The sequence below is a fragment of the Homo sapiens genome, chromosome 2 (assembly GCF_000001405.40).
Source record: "Homo sapiens chromosome 2, GRCh38.p14 Primary Assembly".
Lineage (NCBI taxonomy): Eukaryota > Metazoa > Chordata > Mammalia > Primates > Hominidae > Homo > Homo sapiens.
Genome location: NC_000002.12, coordinates 27,700,502 through 27,715,972, shown reverse-complemented (window position 1 = coordinate 27,715,972; position 15,471 = coordinate 27,700,502). Strand labels below are relative to the sequence as shown.

The following is a 15,471-nucleotide window of genomic DNA, read 5'->3' as shown; positions in this document are numbered from 1 at the left end:
GGGAGGGGGGAGGTGAGGGAGTGTGGGAGAGGAGTGGATCCGGGAGGACCAGCCCAGGTGTCGGGGGAGCGGGTCGGGGTGGGGGGAGGTGGGGGCCGTAGGGGAGGGAAAGAGAGGAAGAGGGAAGGGGTGTGGGGAGGGGGGAGGGGGCGGAGGGAGGGTGCCCTGCTCTCGCCTCCTCCCGCCCCGGGCCGCCCCGGCCTCTGGGCCCCTCTGGCCGGGCGCCACCCACGCGCCTCCGATGCAGCGTCAGGCAGCCGCTGGGGAGGACGCGGCGGGAGCCTCAGATGCCACCTACTCCCCGGCCTCTCTCCCAGTTGATGCTTCTATTTTAGGCAGCACATTATTTCCTGCTGTGATTTTTTCAGCCTTCTAATTTGGGCTCTGAGGTAAGCCGTGACATCCGCCGCGCGCCCGCAGCCCCCTCCCGGCCCGGCGGCGCGATCCTGCCCGAGCCCCGCGCCCTCCGGCCGCGCCTGCGTCTTCACGGAGCCACTCGGCCAGGCCTGCCCCCCAAACAGGCTCCCGGGAGGAGGGCTTCTCCCCCGTGCAGGGTGAAAGAGTCCAGCACGAGGGATTTCTAGGCAAAGATTTAGAAAAAGTGACGGGGACAGGGATACATTGCACCATGGTGTCCCCGGTCCGGGCAGGGGACTGCAGATGCTTCCATATCGGAGGTTTAACACGTTTTTTTTCTGGACACGGGCCCCTTTGAGAATCTGATGACGGCCTTGCATCCTGTCCCCAGAGTGTCCAGAGCAAGCCCACGGCCCACACAGACACTGGGATTCTGCCTGTAGCTTCAGGCCCTCACCTCCTGACACTCTAGGGGCGCCAGGACCCCAGGCTAAAAGCCCAGCTCCGAGGTCGAATACTGTATCTGCCTGCTCCTGCCAGTCTCATCCCAAACCGACTCACTGCTCCCTACGTCTCGGTCTCCTCTCCCTCTATCGGCCTCTTTACTTTTGTTTGTTTGTTTGTTGTTTTTTGAGACAGAGTCTTGCTCTGTCGTCCAGTCTGGAGTGCAGTGGCGCAATCTCCGCTCACTGCAACCTCCGCCTCCCGGGTTCAAGCGATTCTCCTGCCTCAGCCTCCCGAGTGGCTGGGACTACAGGCCTGCGCCAACACACCCAGCTAATTTTTACATTTTTGGTACAGATGGGATTTCACCATATTGGCCAGGCTGGTCTCAAAACTCCTGACCTCAAGCTATCCGCCCTCCTCAGCCTCCCAAAGTGCTGGGATTACAGGCGTGAGCCAGCCTGCCCCAGCCCCGGCCTCATTACATTTAATCAATTTTAAAACTGTCTTTGTATGGGTAAGGATCTCACCCCCAAGTGGGCAGATAGAGGTCACATTGGTAGCTGGCCTGCTCTTCAGGTCTCTGGCCTAGTTCATTACCTGGGTCCTGCTGGCATCTGGTAGCGAAAGGACACTGCATTTGGATTCCAGGAGACTTGGGTTCCAATTACATACTTAGTAGTTTCATTCCCTTGGCCTCCCTGAGCCCCAACTTCATCTGTGCAATGGGGAATTGTAATAAAGCTTCCCTCACAAGACTAAGTGAGTCAGTGCACAGGGAGGCACCTTTCAAATGCACCTCCCTGTCAAAGGAGAAGGCCTAGTTTACTTTTTTTGAGTAACTCACACTTGTCTGTTGCCCCTCATGGTGGGCAGCATCCAATAAAGTTTTGTGGTCGTTTTTATTTATTTATTTATTTATATTTATTTTGTTTATTTATTTATTTATTTTGAGACCGAAGTCTCACTCTGTTGCCCAGGCTGGAGGGCAGTGGCTTGATCCCGGCTCACTGCAAGCTCCGCCTCCCGGGTCCATGCCATTCTCCTGCCTCAGGCTTTGGAGTAGCTGGGACTACAAGCGCCCGCCACCACGCCTGGCTAATTTTTGTATTTTTAGTAGAAAAACGGGGTTTCACTGTGTTAGCCAGGATGGTCTCGATCTCCTGACTTTGTGATCCACCCACCTCGGCCTCCCAAAGTGCTGGGATTACAGGCGTGAGCCACCGTGCCCGGCCTGTGGTCATTTTTTAAACTAAAGATGGGTAAACTATGACTGGGCACAGTGGCTCACGCCTGTAATCCCAGCACTTTGGGAGGCCAAGGCGGGTGGATCACTTGAGGTCAGGAGTTCGAGAACAGCCTGGCCAACATGGTGAAACCCCGTCTCTACTAAAAATACAAAAATTAGCCAGGCGTGATGGAACATGCCTGTAATACCAGCTACTCAGGAGGCTGAGACACGAGAATTGCTTGAAGCCAGGAGATGGAGGTTGCAGTGAGCCAAGATGGCACAACTGCAGTCCAGCCTGGGTGACACAGCGAGACTTATCTCAAAAAAATAAATAAATAAAAAATAAAGATGGGTAAACTGAGTCCAAAATAAGGAAGTGATGTGAGATGAGCCATCCTATCTCCAGAATAATGAGTGAGCAGTCAAGAGCCCATCCCTAGGCAAATGCAGAGCAGCTAGCTTGGGAGTCAGCCTTGGAGGCCAGCCTGGTCTTCAGTCCACAGCCCCTTTTCCCACAGGTGTTAAAAAGGGTTCCACAGTCTCATCCACCCCACGGACTCCGTCCCTACCACCTGCAAATTCGCCTTCCTCCGTCTTTATTAGAGCTTCTATTTTCTCTGGCGTGCCCTCTGGTTACTGTCCTAATGCCTTCTGCCTGCCTTGGGAGATGTCTGCAGTTTTACTCCAGCTTGGTTCTCTTCCTGCCCCTCTGATTGCTCCTTCTCTAGTGCTGGCTCCTCTTCCTTTCCTGAGCTTTTTTTTTTTTTTTTTTTTTTTGTAAGATGGAGTCCTGCTCTGTCTCCCAGGCTGAAGAGCAGTGGCACAGCTCACTGCAGCCTCCACCTCCCATGTTCAAGTGATTCTCCTGCCCCTCAGCCTCCCAAGTAGCTGGGATTACAAGCATACACAACCACTCCCGGCTAATTTTTGTATTTTTAGTAGAGACGGGGTTTTGCCATGTTAGCCAGGCTGGTCTCGAACTCCTGACCTCAAGTGATCTGCCCGCCTTGGCCTCCCAAAGTGCTGGGATTACACGTGTGAGCCATCATGCCCAGCCCTGAGTTTTTTTTTTTCAAGGGTGCCTATTATCCAGTGTTTATCATGCTGCCCTCAGTTCCCTATTCCTGGCCTTCTGCCTCTGGGAGAGGGACCTCATTGCTTTTGGTGGTTCCAGTTGTCTCCTCTAGGTTACCAGCTCTGACCTCTTGACTCCCAGTCCCAATTTCAGCTGCCCATTGGACAACTCTAAACTTAAGCCCTGTTGTCATCTCAAACTCAACATATCTAAAAATGAGTTCCTCATCTTCCCACAAAGCAGCTTTCCCAGCTGGTTTCCCTTTTCTGTTTGGTACATGACCATTCTCACCCAGGCACAAAGCTTTCATCAACTTTGACTCTTCTCCTTTCCTCTTCTACCTGCATGTAGGCACCAAACCCTGTGCATGCCTCCCTTGGGGTCTTGCTCTGGTATCCAACTCTTCCTTCCTTTTCCCATCTGTAGTCATCTATTGCTAGCCCTCAGCTCCAACGTTCCCAGTAGCTTCGTGGCTGTTTTCTCTGCCCATAGTCTCTCCATCCTCTAAAATGGGTTGACATCTGAACCAAGACCCACCTCCATTAGAGACTTCCTTTGAACATAGACCCTTTGAGCAGCGTTAGCACATCTTGCCTGTTCCATTCACTCTGCCAATTCCTCCAATCTTGCCAAGTGACATGCCTCCTATGGTTATTTAACTTTTCACATTTTTTACCCAAATGAGAAGCTCCTAGAGGTCTTTCCCAGCCCCTGATCTGAGCTTGCTCAGGGCCAGCTGGGACCCCGGTGCTACAACCTGGCACTTAACACAAGTGCTTCTGATTCCTCATGGTCTCCACTATTTTTCAATCTGGCTCACTTGAGCTCTTTTAAATTAACCGAGGAGTGCCCTTCACCCAGAAGCAGAGAGCCCAAATTCCAATGCCTGCAGGGGCCAGGCAGGTCATGACATGGGTGAGGCAAGGCAGGTGCACAATGATAGGGAGTGGCAGGACGTGGCGTCTAGACCCCAGGTCCCCAGTCTAGAGCAGTTGTTACTACTTAGGCCCCCTTTATGGATATCAGGCCCGGTGTGTTCAGAGTTTCCAATTTTTTTTTTAAATAAATACCAAATTTGGATTTTAGATTAAATTTCTCAACTTCTAAAATACTGTGCAAACCAAACAAAATACTGCTGCAGGCTAAGTTCAGCCTGCAGGTAACCCTGGATATAAAGATTTCCTGCTTTGTAATAATTCTTAGGTGGCAGAAAGCAGTTTGGATTGGGAGTTTCTAGTTCTGGTTATACCAGTAATGAGCTAAATAATCTTCAATAAGTTATATCCTTTCTCTGGGACCTCAGTTTCCTCATCTGTACAATGAAGGATCCCATTAAATGATCCCCAAGGCCTTTTTTTTTTTAACTTGGTAATTCTGTGGTTCTGTGGCTTATTCTAAATGGTGGGGAAATCCTGTTTAATTGAATTTTCTGGTGAATGAGAATTACCATAAATACACACTGTATGTGGATTACTACATTTCAGAGAACTAGAATACAATAACTCTTTGGTTAACTGAAATTCTCCAGCGTTAACTGGAAAATCCCCTTTTAATCAAGGTTATTGTTGAGAGGCTTTCTAAAATACCAGAGTTCAGTTTCCTGCCTTTCTAAGCACAGGAGATGTAGCAATACTGGGCAAGGGGATCTGATGAGTCAATGTCTGGGGATGGCTCTGCCACCTGAGCTGAAGGAGTCAACAGCAGGGTGACCCAAGAGGATCTCCCAGCCAGGGCGCTGCTCACATAGCAGAGTTATCTATAAGTTAAGGACCACCTGGCTGGTGCCATAGATAACTATACTGAGGACCTCACCAGCCTTTTGCAAGACTCGGACACCCAGGTTTAACATCCACTTTTGGAGCATACCTCATTTCTAAGCTGATGAATAGTTGAAAACTGGCATTGCCTGGAATGTGCATCAAGGCTGACTGCCACCCAGAGCTCCTTCCCACTGAAAACAGTGAAAGCGCTTTGGAACCCAGCAGATCTTGATTTGAATTGAGTCTTACACTTCCCAGCTGTGTGACTTTAGGCGCGTGCCTTAACCTTTCTGAGTCTTAGTTTCCTCATCTATAAATTGGAGACAATACGCTCTCATAGAGTTGTTATGAGGACTGAGTAAAATCATGTGCGCTAAATGGCTGATGTGATGTTTGAGATTTAGTAAGTGCTGGGTAGGTAAATGGAAATCATTCCATTAGGAATTAATACCTTTTATCATGTAAAATCCCATCTGATTCTCCAGATTTTTACTTAGTAAGTAAGGTCAGAAAGTCAATAGCAGTCACCTTCCACCTCAATAGCCATTTGAGAAACAAATTGTGCATAATTAGATCTCCTGCTCCATCCACCCTTCCATTCCACCCTATCATCTTGGAATAGAGATACCAGCCTGAAAATCAGAACCAAGATCTTGATTTAGGGCCAGGTGTGGTGGCTTACACTTATAATCCCAGCGCTTTGGGAGGATGAGGCGGGAGGATCATTTGGGCCCAGGAGTTTTGAGGTTACAGTGAGCTATGATCGCGCCACTCCAGCCCGAGCAACAGAGTGAGGTCCTCTCTCTCTATAAAAACAAAACAAAACAAAAACTCTATTTTGCAACTGTCATAGTAATAATTGATCCAGTCAAGAATCATCAAAGGATGCAAGTTTGATATGGACAAGATAGTCATAGGCTTAAATATTTACCCTCTCCCCCAATTACTTATTAATTACAAAAGGAAAAAATAATAACTTTTCAGTGGAGAAACTTGGCAAGTATCTCCTTAAACATGAGATCAAAGTTAACATCACCAGGCCTGGGACAAACAGACATCACGTGGCTCCTGATATGATGTACTGAGGCCCCGGCATCACTTCTGTGAGATTCCTGCCAGCAAATGCTTAACCTGGGTCTAATTATCAGCACACATCAGACTAGCCCAAATTGAAGGGCATTCTATAAAACAACTGGCCTATACTCTTGAAAAATATCAATATCATGAAAGACAAAGAAAGGCTGAGGAACTCTTCTAAATTAAAAATTAAAGAAACACAGTGACTATGTGGAATGTATGATCTGGATTGGATTCTGGGCGAGAAACAAATCTCTATTAAGGACATTATTTGGAGAATTCAATAAAGTTTAATATTGAGTACATATTAAAAAATAGTTTTAAACAGAGTTCAGTCTTGTAATCCCAGCACTTTGGGAGGTCAAGGTGGGTGGATTGCTTGAAGCCAGGAGTTTGAGACCAGCCTGGGCAATAAAGCATGACCCTGTCTCCACAAAAAAAATTTTTTAAATTAGCCAGGCACGGTGGTGTGCACCTACAGTTCCAGCTACTCGGCAGGCTGAGGCAGGAGAATTGCTTGATTGCCCAGGAGGAGTTTGAGGCCACAGTGAGCTATGATCACACTGCTACACTCCTGCCTGGGTGACAAAGCAAGACCCTGTCTCTAAAAATAAAATAAAATAACTATTATATCTATGTTAAATTCCCTGATTATGTAATAGAATGTCTGTGTTCTTGGGAAAGTATTTAAGGGTAAAAGGAATAGTGTCTGCAACTTACTCTCAAAAGGTTCAACAAAAGAAAATAAGTATAAACAGGTATGTACACACTCAGAGAGAATATTAAAATGTAGCAAAGTTTAACATTTGGTGAACCTGAGTGAAGGAGTTCTATGCGCCAGACTTGCAGTTTTTCAGTAAATTAACATTATTTCAAAGTAAAAAGTAAAAAAGAAAAACAGAGCCAAAGCGCCATGCCCAGAGCCTGGCGTCCTCTGCCCCCACACCATGGCGAAGTAGAAAGAGCCCTGACTTAGACACAGGTTCAAATCCAGGCTCCCAACTGTAAGATATTTCATCCCCAGGCTTCTGTCTCCTCACCCTAAAAGGAAGATAATAATACAGTGTCTCTCTCTTAGGGATGTTAAGGAGACTTAAATGAGGTAGTCTATGTAAAAACCCTGGCACCTGCCAAAAAATTATTCACATACTCTCCAAGTATATGCTGCCAATTGCCCAGAAGTGATAAATACCAACAGAATTCTTACTCTCACGTAGCTTATCTTCTAGTCAGAAGATGGAAAATAAATGACTAAATAAGCAGGCAGGCATAATTCCAAACAGTATAAATTCTGTGAGGGGAATGGAGTGTGGCGGTAGAGATGGGGAGAGATGGGGGTGGGGGGCGGCCCTGCCCTATACAGGGTGGTCAGGGAAAGCCTTCCAAGGAAATAACATTTAAGCTGACCCTGAAGAACAAGAAGGAGGGAGAGGCTGACAATGTAGGTGGTGGAACAGCAGGAACAAAGGCCCCGGGGTGGGCAAGGGCTCGGTGTATGCAAGGAACTGTCCGTCCCTTCTCTCCTTTGCTAGACCACCTCATAATTCCGTGTGTGTTCCTTGACGGAAGGGGCAGCAGAGCACCCAGCACTGGATACTCAGTGTCAGATGAGTGAACAAGCAAATGGCTGATGTCTGGTTTCAATGTTTGCCTACGAGGAGATGTACTCCGCTCCCAGCTCTTAGCCTCACCATGCAGTGGAAGGGAAGGAGGCTTCTGAACTGGCAGCTCTACATTCTTCCCCTCTCTGTGCAACTTGTTTAGATCACAGAACTGGAAGGGACCCCAAAAATCCCATTCTCCCACCCCTCCGATTAGAGAGGAAGAAACAGAGGCCCAGACTCAACAGACTTGCCAAAACCCATGGACCTGGTTGGGGGCCCACATCTAGCACTTTCCCCAGCCTCACAGCCTGCCTTGTTTATTTGTTCAGCAGTTTTTGTTTCGCCATGGCACAGCTTGTTCCGACTCTGGAACATTTATGAGATGAGCCAATTTTTAAAAATCATAGAAAATAAATGGTTTGCTCTTGGAGCTGAAGGGCGGGGCAGCCAGGGTGGGAGACAGGTTCCAGGCCAGTTCTGGGGCAGAATTTTGGCTTATCCTTTGCTGTGTTTTTTTATTCTCCTGCCTTGGGAACCAAAAGGATTTCAGTGGGATTTCCTGCCTCGATTTCTCCAGTACTATGATATGGAAAGACTAGAACATTCAACCATACACTTTCTGATTCTCACCTCCACCATCATTAGTTCCATTCCAAACTCTGGCTCCTACCCATTGAGTTCAAGCTACAGCCTGATTCAACTGATCAACCTGGGGATGGTGGTGTCAGGACTAGCACCTGGACCATTCTGCCTCCTCTGCCTGCAACATCCTCTCTATCTGCTTGTGAACTCTTCTCCTTCAAAACCCAGCGGTTACGTCACCACTTCTAAAACCTTGAACTGATTCCCCACGTAGTCGGCCAGCTACTTTTTAAATTTAAAAAAGCCCAACCAGAATAAACAGGATAGCTAAAATGCTGAATTTCTTTGCTTTTTTTTGACTGGATATTAACTCAGTGTACTAATGTTAGCTATTATCTTGTGTTATTTGATCATAATTTATTTGCAGATATGTAAATATGTGATTACCAAAAACTTGTAAATGAATACTTGCTAAATTCAATTTTTTTGGCCAACAAAAATAATTTATTTAAACGTTAATTATGTCCAGGATGGTAGAGGGAGTGGGATAAGGATGACACAAGGACTCCTGGTGGTAAAAAGGTGACTCTAAGGTCCTATCTAGCCTTTTGATACAACATGGCTGGCTCATTTCCCCAAAAGGCCTGGTACATAGTAGGTGCTCAAAAAGTATGCATTATATGTATAAGTCCGTGAGGACGATTACACTCTCTGACCCTGGGGTCAATGAAGCTTCTGTCAACCCCAGTTGAATGTCCCATGAGGGGCCAGGCTAAGAATCCATTCAAGAGCTGTCCTAGGCCAGATACAGTGGCTCACACCTGTAATCCCAGCACTTTGGGAGGCCAAGGCAAGCAGATCACCTGAGGTCAGGAGTTTAAGACCAGTCTGGCCAACATGGTGAAACCCTGTCTCTACTAAAAATACAAAAATTAGCCAGGCATGGTGGCGGGCGCCTGTAATCCCAGCTACTCGGGAGGCTGAGGCATGAGAATCCCTTGAACCAGGAGGTGGAGATTGCAGTGAGCCAAAATCACTCCACTGCACTCAATCCTGGGCAACAGAGCGAGACTCTTTCTCAAAAAAAAAAAAAGGAGCTGTCCTAGCTTCAGGCTTTTTCTCCCTAACTGGGCGACATGCCCATTCTTAGCATTCTTAGTACTAAGATTGGTGAGATCCTGGGGATGGATAGGGCAGTGTGTTCTGAAGCCCTTTCAAGGAGCAGGGGCAGCAGCCTGGGTTCTGATGCCCATTCCAACTCCCTCTGCCCCTTTGCTCAAGGCAGTTCCCCAAGCAGCAGTCTGGCCAGCTGTGGGAGGTGCTGTTCACCACTTCCAAGATTAGCTCAGACCTTAAAAATCACAGCCCAGCTCCTGCCCTTCTCGTGCCAAGGAAAACAGTAGATGTCAGAAGCCTCCTTAGGTATCTGGAAGGGAACAGCTCCTTCTGCTCCCTCCCTTCCTTGTATGAGGTCATTGAATCAGGATGACAAAGCAAACAGTGACATGTGTTGGGACTTGTTCCCAGACTGATTCCAGGATTTCTCCAGCCCCTCCCACCTCCCCACCCTCAGAATGGCAGACCCAGGTGTGGACAACAAACTGAATAGAACTTGGTCCTTGGGATCCTGGGAAATAGGGGCTAGTTGTGAGGCACTTCCTGGGGTGGTGAAGAGGAAGCCCTGGATAGACCTTGGTAAAAGAGGAAATTGGGATATCAGCCCCACGGGCTATTTGCACGGTGTGTTCCGGGCTTCAGCATGTTTCTACATATTTTAATGTGAGTTTAGGAGGGTAGGAGTTCTTTTTCAACTTCACAGATGAGGAAACAGCCTCATTTAAGGTCAGCAGTTTAATCAGGGTTACATGACTTAAGTGTGACAGAGCCAGACTTGAAGTGAGGTTTGTGACTAATGAGTTTTGTTACATTTTCCCACCTCACCACAGTTCCTTGAACTTGTCATTGGTATATCTGTTTCAGGCTTTCTGCCTTGTGGCATACCACCATACTATTATTTACATAATATTTTTCTTAAATAAACACAATTTAAAAGTTAACCTCATTCTGCCCATTATTCTAAGTTAAGTAACTCAGGAATGGAAAACGAAACATTGTATGTTCTCACTTATAAGTAGGAGCTAAGCCATGAGGACGCAAAGGCATGATTTATATAGTGGACTTTGGGGACTCGGCTGGGGAAGGTTGGGAGGATGGTGAAGGATAAAAGACTAAGTATTGGGTACAGTGTACACTGCTCAGGTGATGGGTACACTAAAATCTCTTTAGAAATCACCACTAAAGAACTTACCCATGTGACGGGTGTGGTGGCTCACACCTGTAATCCCAGCACTTTGGGAGGCTAAGGTGGGTGGTTCTCAAGCCCAGGAGTTCAAGGCCAGCTTGGGCAATATATTGAGACCCCATCTCTCTTAAAAAAAAAAATTTACCCATGTAACCAAATACTTACCTGTACCCTAAAATCTGTTGACATAAAAAAGTTAACTTCATTCTAAGCTGCAATACATATGTGTGTATATATGTGTACATATATATTAAAATGTACATATATATTTTAATATGTATATGTAATGTGACATATTACATTTATACTGTTTATATGTATTTATATGTGTAGCTACTAAAATTAAACATTTTCATCCTCATCCCCTAAAGTCGACTCTCGTGACACCAGGGACACTCGTGTATACTTTGGAAAACTGTCTCACAACCTCTCTGTATTACGAAGGATGCAGCCAAGTGGCTGCCCTTGTTGAAATGCTCAGCCAGTAGGATCACTCATAGCCACCACTGTCTTTGTTAGGGCCGTGCCTCAAAATCACAAAATTATTGAATCATGGAGGATAAGAGATAGATCATGGACTCTAACTCTGGAGAAGGTGTTATACAACACACCCAGCCATAGCCCTAAAGATTAAGGGGCACCATTCAGGGATATAAAGATGAATCAGATATAGTCCTTGCTCTTAAAAACTCACTAAGCTTACAGACATAAACAATTGAAAACTAGAAGGACTAAGCAAAGGAACAGAAATGAAAGAAACTCACATCTAGATGTAGTTCCACCACAAACTCGGTGTGCCTTTGAGCAAGTCACTTCATGTGTCTAGCCTCAGGTTTTTTTTGTTTTTGTTTTTGTTTTTTGAGATGGAGTTTCGCTGCAATGCCCAGGCTGGAGTGCAATGATGCAATCTGGGCTCACTGCAACCTCCACTTCCTGGGTTCAAGTGATTCTCCTGCTTCAGCCTGAGTAGCTGGGACTACAGGCAGGGGTCACCATGCCTGGCTAATTTTTGTATTTTTTGTAGAGACGGGGTTTCACCATATTGGCCAGGCTGGTCTCGAACTCCTGACCTCAGGCGATCCACCTGCCCCAGCCTCCCAAAATGCTGGGATTACAGGTGTTAGCCACCCTGCCCAGTGCCTCAGTTTCTTTAAACAGAGGTAATTAACATCTGTTTTTACCTTTTAAGTCTAATAGGGGATTCGGATTTTTTTTTTTAACAAGTGTGAAAAAAATCCTCTGTAAACTGTAAAGCTGAAATATAGTGTGTAAGGAATAAATATGCAATGCCCAAAGTCCTCCATAGAATATTGGCATTATAAATGGAGAGCGACTTTCTCTAAGTGAAATTAAGCACTGGAAAAGGCAGTTTTGGAGGAGAGTTGGGAGCACCATTTGGGCCTGACCGGTGTCTCTGGCTAACTTTCTGCTGCCAGGTCTTGGGTCCAGGAATGTCTGTGAGCGAAACTAGCTTGCTGCTCCTAACTTTTTCACAATCCTCCTTTTTTTCTGATTCTTACTCTTTCTTCTGCTTTGAAACCTTTATCTTCTTTCAGCCCCTTGTGCAAGCTGACCGCATTGTAATGGGTCTATACTGCCCCCTTGTGGTCACTCCCTGCCGTGGTTGCATTAACTTCTGACGGGGTGTGCGTGATAAAGGCAGACCTGAGGAAACCCAACCAACCCCAGCTAAATGCAGCTGGTCCTGGAAAATCCAAATTAAAGCCAGCTGCTGGAGTGCAGCGCTCCTTGATGGGAAGGAGTAGTTCATGCCTGGTTTTGCCCCAAGTAGGACATAAATCCAGCCCTCTGGATTAAACTTGCTAAAATGGTCAGTTCCTAGACTATCCAGCTTGTCTGGAGCAAGGTCCTGGAACTAAAAGTGGCTAGAAGGTATCCCTTCTCTGACAGAAAAACCCAAGGATAGGAAGGGCTGGGGCTAGGACCTGCCCTTCAGCCCTCCACCCATTGAAACCAACAGTTAACTAACTGAGCACCAATTTGTGAACTGCTAGGTGCCATGGATGGGGTACAAGATAATGTAGTTCCTGTCCTCAAGAACTTGTAAGTGACAAACGTAAGTAACCCAAACACACATATCAGTAATGAATATCAAGCCGTTGGAGTAAGGGCTGTAATAGAAGTAGAAATAAAGTGCTGTAGCGCTAGTGGGGAAGGAGGGATTAGTGATAGTCTCTGCAATCAGGGAGGCCTCCTGAAGGTAGTTTGGGGCAAGCTGATTGTGTTAAAAATGAGTCGGGCCTGGGGGAGGGAGGGAGGAATGGGTGGAGCACAGAGAGATTTTTAGGGCAATGAAACCATGTTTGTCTGTATACTATAATGGATACATGACGTTACACATCTCTCCAAACCCAGAGAATGTACAATATCAAGAGTGAGCCCTAATGTAAACTGTGGACTTCAGGTGATATCGATGTGTCAATATAAGTTCATCAGTTGTAACAAATTTACCACTCTGGTGGGGAATGTTGATAATGGGGGAGGCTGTGTATGAGAGGAGTGGGGACAATGGCAAATCTCTGTATTTTCTGCTCAATTTTTCTGTGAACCTAAAACTGCTCTAAAAAATAAAGTCTTAAAAAGAAAAAAAGTAGTACCTTACTTACCAAACATGAGCAAGGAAGACCACAATGACACTCATAATAACTACATGGGGTGGGGGGAGGTGATTATGTGTTGGACATGGCTAAAAGTTTATATTTGTTACTTAATCTCTGCAACAATACTGTTGGGTAGGTATTATTTTCTCTATTTAATAGACAAGGAAACTGAGGCCTATGCAGAAAGGCTTGATAGAAAATATAGGGAGAGGAAAAAGCAAAGGTGTGTTTGGGGCAAATAACCTGTTATTTCTAGAGTAGCAGGTATGCCTCATCGGGTGGAAGAAAGGGAGGGACAAGGGCAGGTGTGGGGTCATGATGATAGAAAAGCACAGGAACCCTATGATAAGGCTTTTAAAGCCTCAAAGGAATTTGGACCCTCACACTTTGGACACTGGAAAACCTTTTGAGATTTCAGAGCAAGGGACTCTGCTCAGGGATGTGTTTGACATATGTGGAGGAGAGTTGATAAGGCAGAGATGAGAGGGAGACCTGTGGAGTCATGAGGTGAAGGGAGCTTAGATTAGGGCAGTGGGCAATGCAAAGGCATAGATCCTAAAACTTCCACATGGAGAAATTAAAATGGGCTAGGGGAATAAAGAAGGCAGAGGTACCCTTGATGGAAAACACTGCAATCACATGCTGAGCCCTCCAACCTGCCTCATCAATGCCAGGTCCTATGGTGGGGGTGGGGGCAGATTTCCAGAATCCTACTGAATAGAAGTCTTGGTTCCACCCTGGACTATGATGTGCCAAACCTCTAAAACCAAAGGAGGGCAAAGTCTTCTCAGAGAGCAGCGGTGAAATCCTGAAAATTGTTCTCAACGCCCACATTAAGTGAGGAATCTCAGAATCAGAGTGGCCTGTCACAAGAAGACTACCAGTTTGATGCTGGACCCACTCCTCAAAGGTCAAGGAGTTTTATCATTTCCCAGCAGTCAAGAATCTGGTTGGACTAAACCCTGTATGGGAACGCGGCTCCCGCTCCCCTGCAGAGGCTTTGATTCTGGCTTTTGATTGCCACAGGGCTGGCAGGCTTCCCTCTGGCTCCCACTCTCTCAGGAAGGCATCCACAGCTGCTGGCCACTTGTCACACCCTGTCTGGGAGGTGGCAGCACTTCAGTGGTAAAGCAACAGATCCTCAGGCTGTGGCTAACGGCTTCAATGTTTGTTGGGAATTGTGTCATATTTCCCGAAAGGGCTAACTCCATCTAGTACTGGTAGAATAGTGTTCTTTCCTGTACAATACAATGAAACCTCAATGCCCAACTGAAATAAACAGAATTTTAACAGTGGTCATGTTATGGTGATGCTGAGATGCTTAGACATTTAATTTTTTTATTTTTATTTGTTTTTCAGACAGGGGCTTGTTCTGTCTTCTAGGCTAGGTGCAGTGACGTGATCATGGCTCACTGCAGCCTCAGCTTCCCAGGCTCAAGCGATCCTCCCACCTCAGTCTCCCAAGTAGCTGGGACTACAGGTGCTGCCACTACACCCAGTTAATTTTTAAATTTTTTGTAGAGATGGGGTCTCACTATGTTGCACAGGCTGGTCTTGAACTCCTGGCCTCAAGCGATCATCCTGCCTTGGCCTCTCAAAGTGCTGGGATTATAGGCATGAGCCACAACACTCAGCTGGCATTTAATTTTTTTACCCATGCTTCATTTCTTCCCTTTTCTCTAAATATCTTTAAAATTACTATACCGCTTTAAATATTTTCCTCTTCTCAAAATATCCTTAATTTTAGAAATAAAAGAGTTTTAGTAGTAAAAAGTTAGGCTAGGTGAGGTGGCTCATGCTTGTAATCCTAGCACTTTTGGAGGCCAAGGCAGGGGAAGATCCCTAAGGCTAGGAGTTCAAGACCAGCCTGGGCAACATAGTGAGACCCCCATCTATACAAAAAAATTAAAACTTAGCCGGGCATGGTGATCCATATCTGTAGTCCTGGCTACTTGGGGACCTGAGGTGGAAGGATCCCTTGAGCCTATGAATTCGAGGCTGCAGTGAGCTATGATGGTGCCACTACACTCTAGCCTGGGCAACAGAGCAAGACTTTGTATCAAAAAAAAAGCAGGCAATATCCAACCATATGACATTCTGGAAAATATACAACTATGGAGACAGTAAAAAGATCAGTGGCTCCTGGGGCTGAAGGGGGAGAGAAGGATGAATAGGCAGAACACACACGACTTCTGGGGCAGTGAAACTACTCTGTATGATATACTATAATGGTGAATATATGTCATTATACATTTGTCAAAACCCACAGAATGTACACTAAGAGTAAATCCTAATGTAAACTGTAGTTGGTTTGATAACGTGTCAATTCAGATTTAATTGTAAAAAATGTACCACTCTGGTACAGGACTTTGCTAGTACAAGAGATTGTGTGTGGGGGGTGGGGGACAGGTAAATGGG

At 46.1% G+C, this 15,471-nt stretch overlaps 1 long non-coding RNA gene across 1 annotated transcript, besides 2 other annotated features; it reads left to right on the top strand.

The window, feature by feature from the left end:
• Positions 145–554: a silencer, noted in NCBI's record as "silent region_11304". NCBI's record gives its function as "represses an Ori minimal core promoter by ATAC-STARR-seq in GM12878 lymphoblastoid cells {active_cell/tissue: GM12878}" and the evidence as "EXISTENCE:reporter gene assay evidence [ECO:0000049][PMID:35858748]".
• LINC01460 (long intergenic non-protein coding RNA 1460) lies at positions 241–10,187 on the top strand. Its single transcript, NR_135200.1, has 2 exons — positions 241–389; positions 7,477–10,187. It is a non-coding gene; the product is annotated as a long intergenic non-protein coding RNA 1460 (long non-coding RNA).
• Positions 12,008–12,077: a silencer, noted in NCBI's record as "silent region_11303". NCBI's record gives its function as "represses an Ori minimal core promoter by ATAC-STARR-seq in GM12878 lymphoblastoid cells {active_cell/tissue: GM12878}" and the evidence as "EXISTENCE:reporter gene assay evidence [ECO:0000049][PMID:35858748]".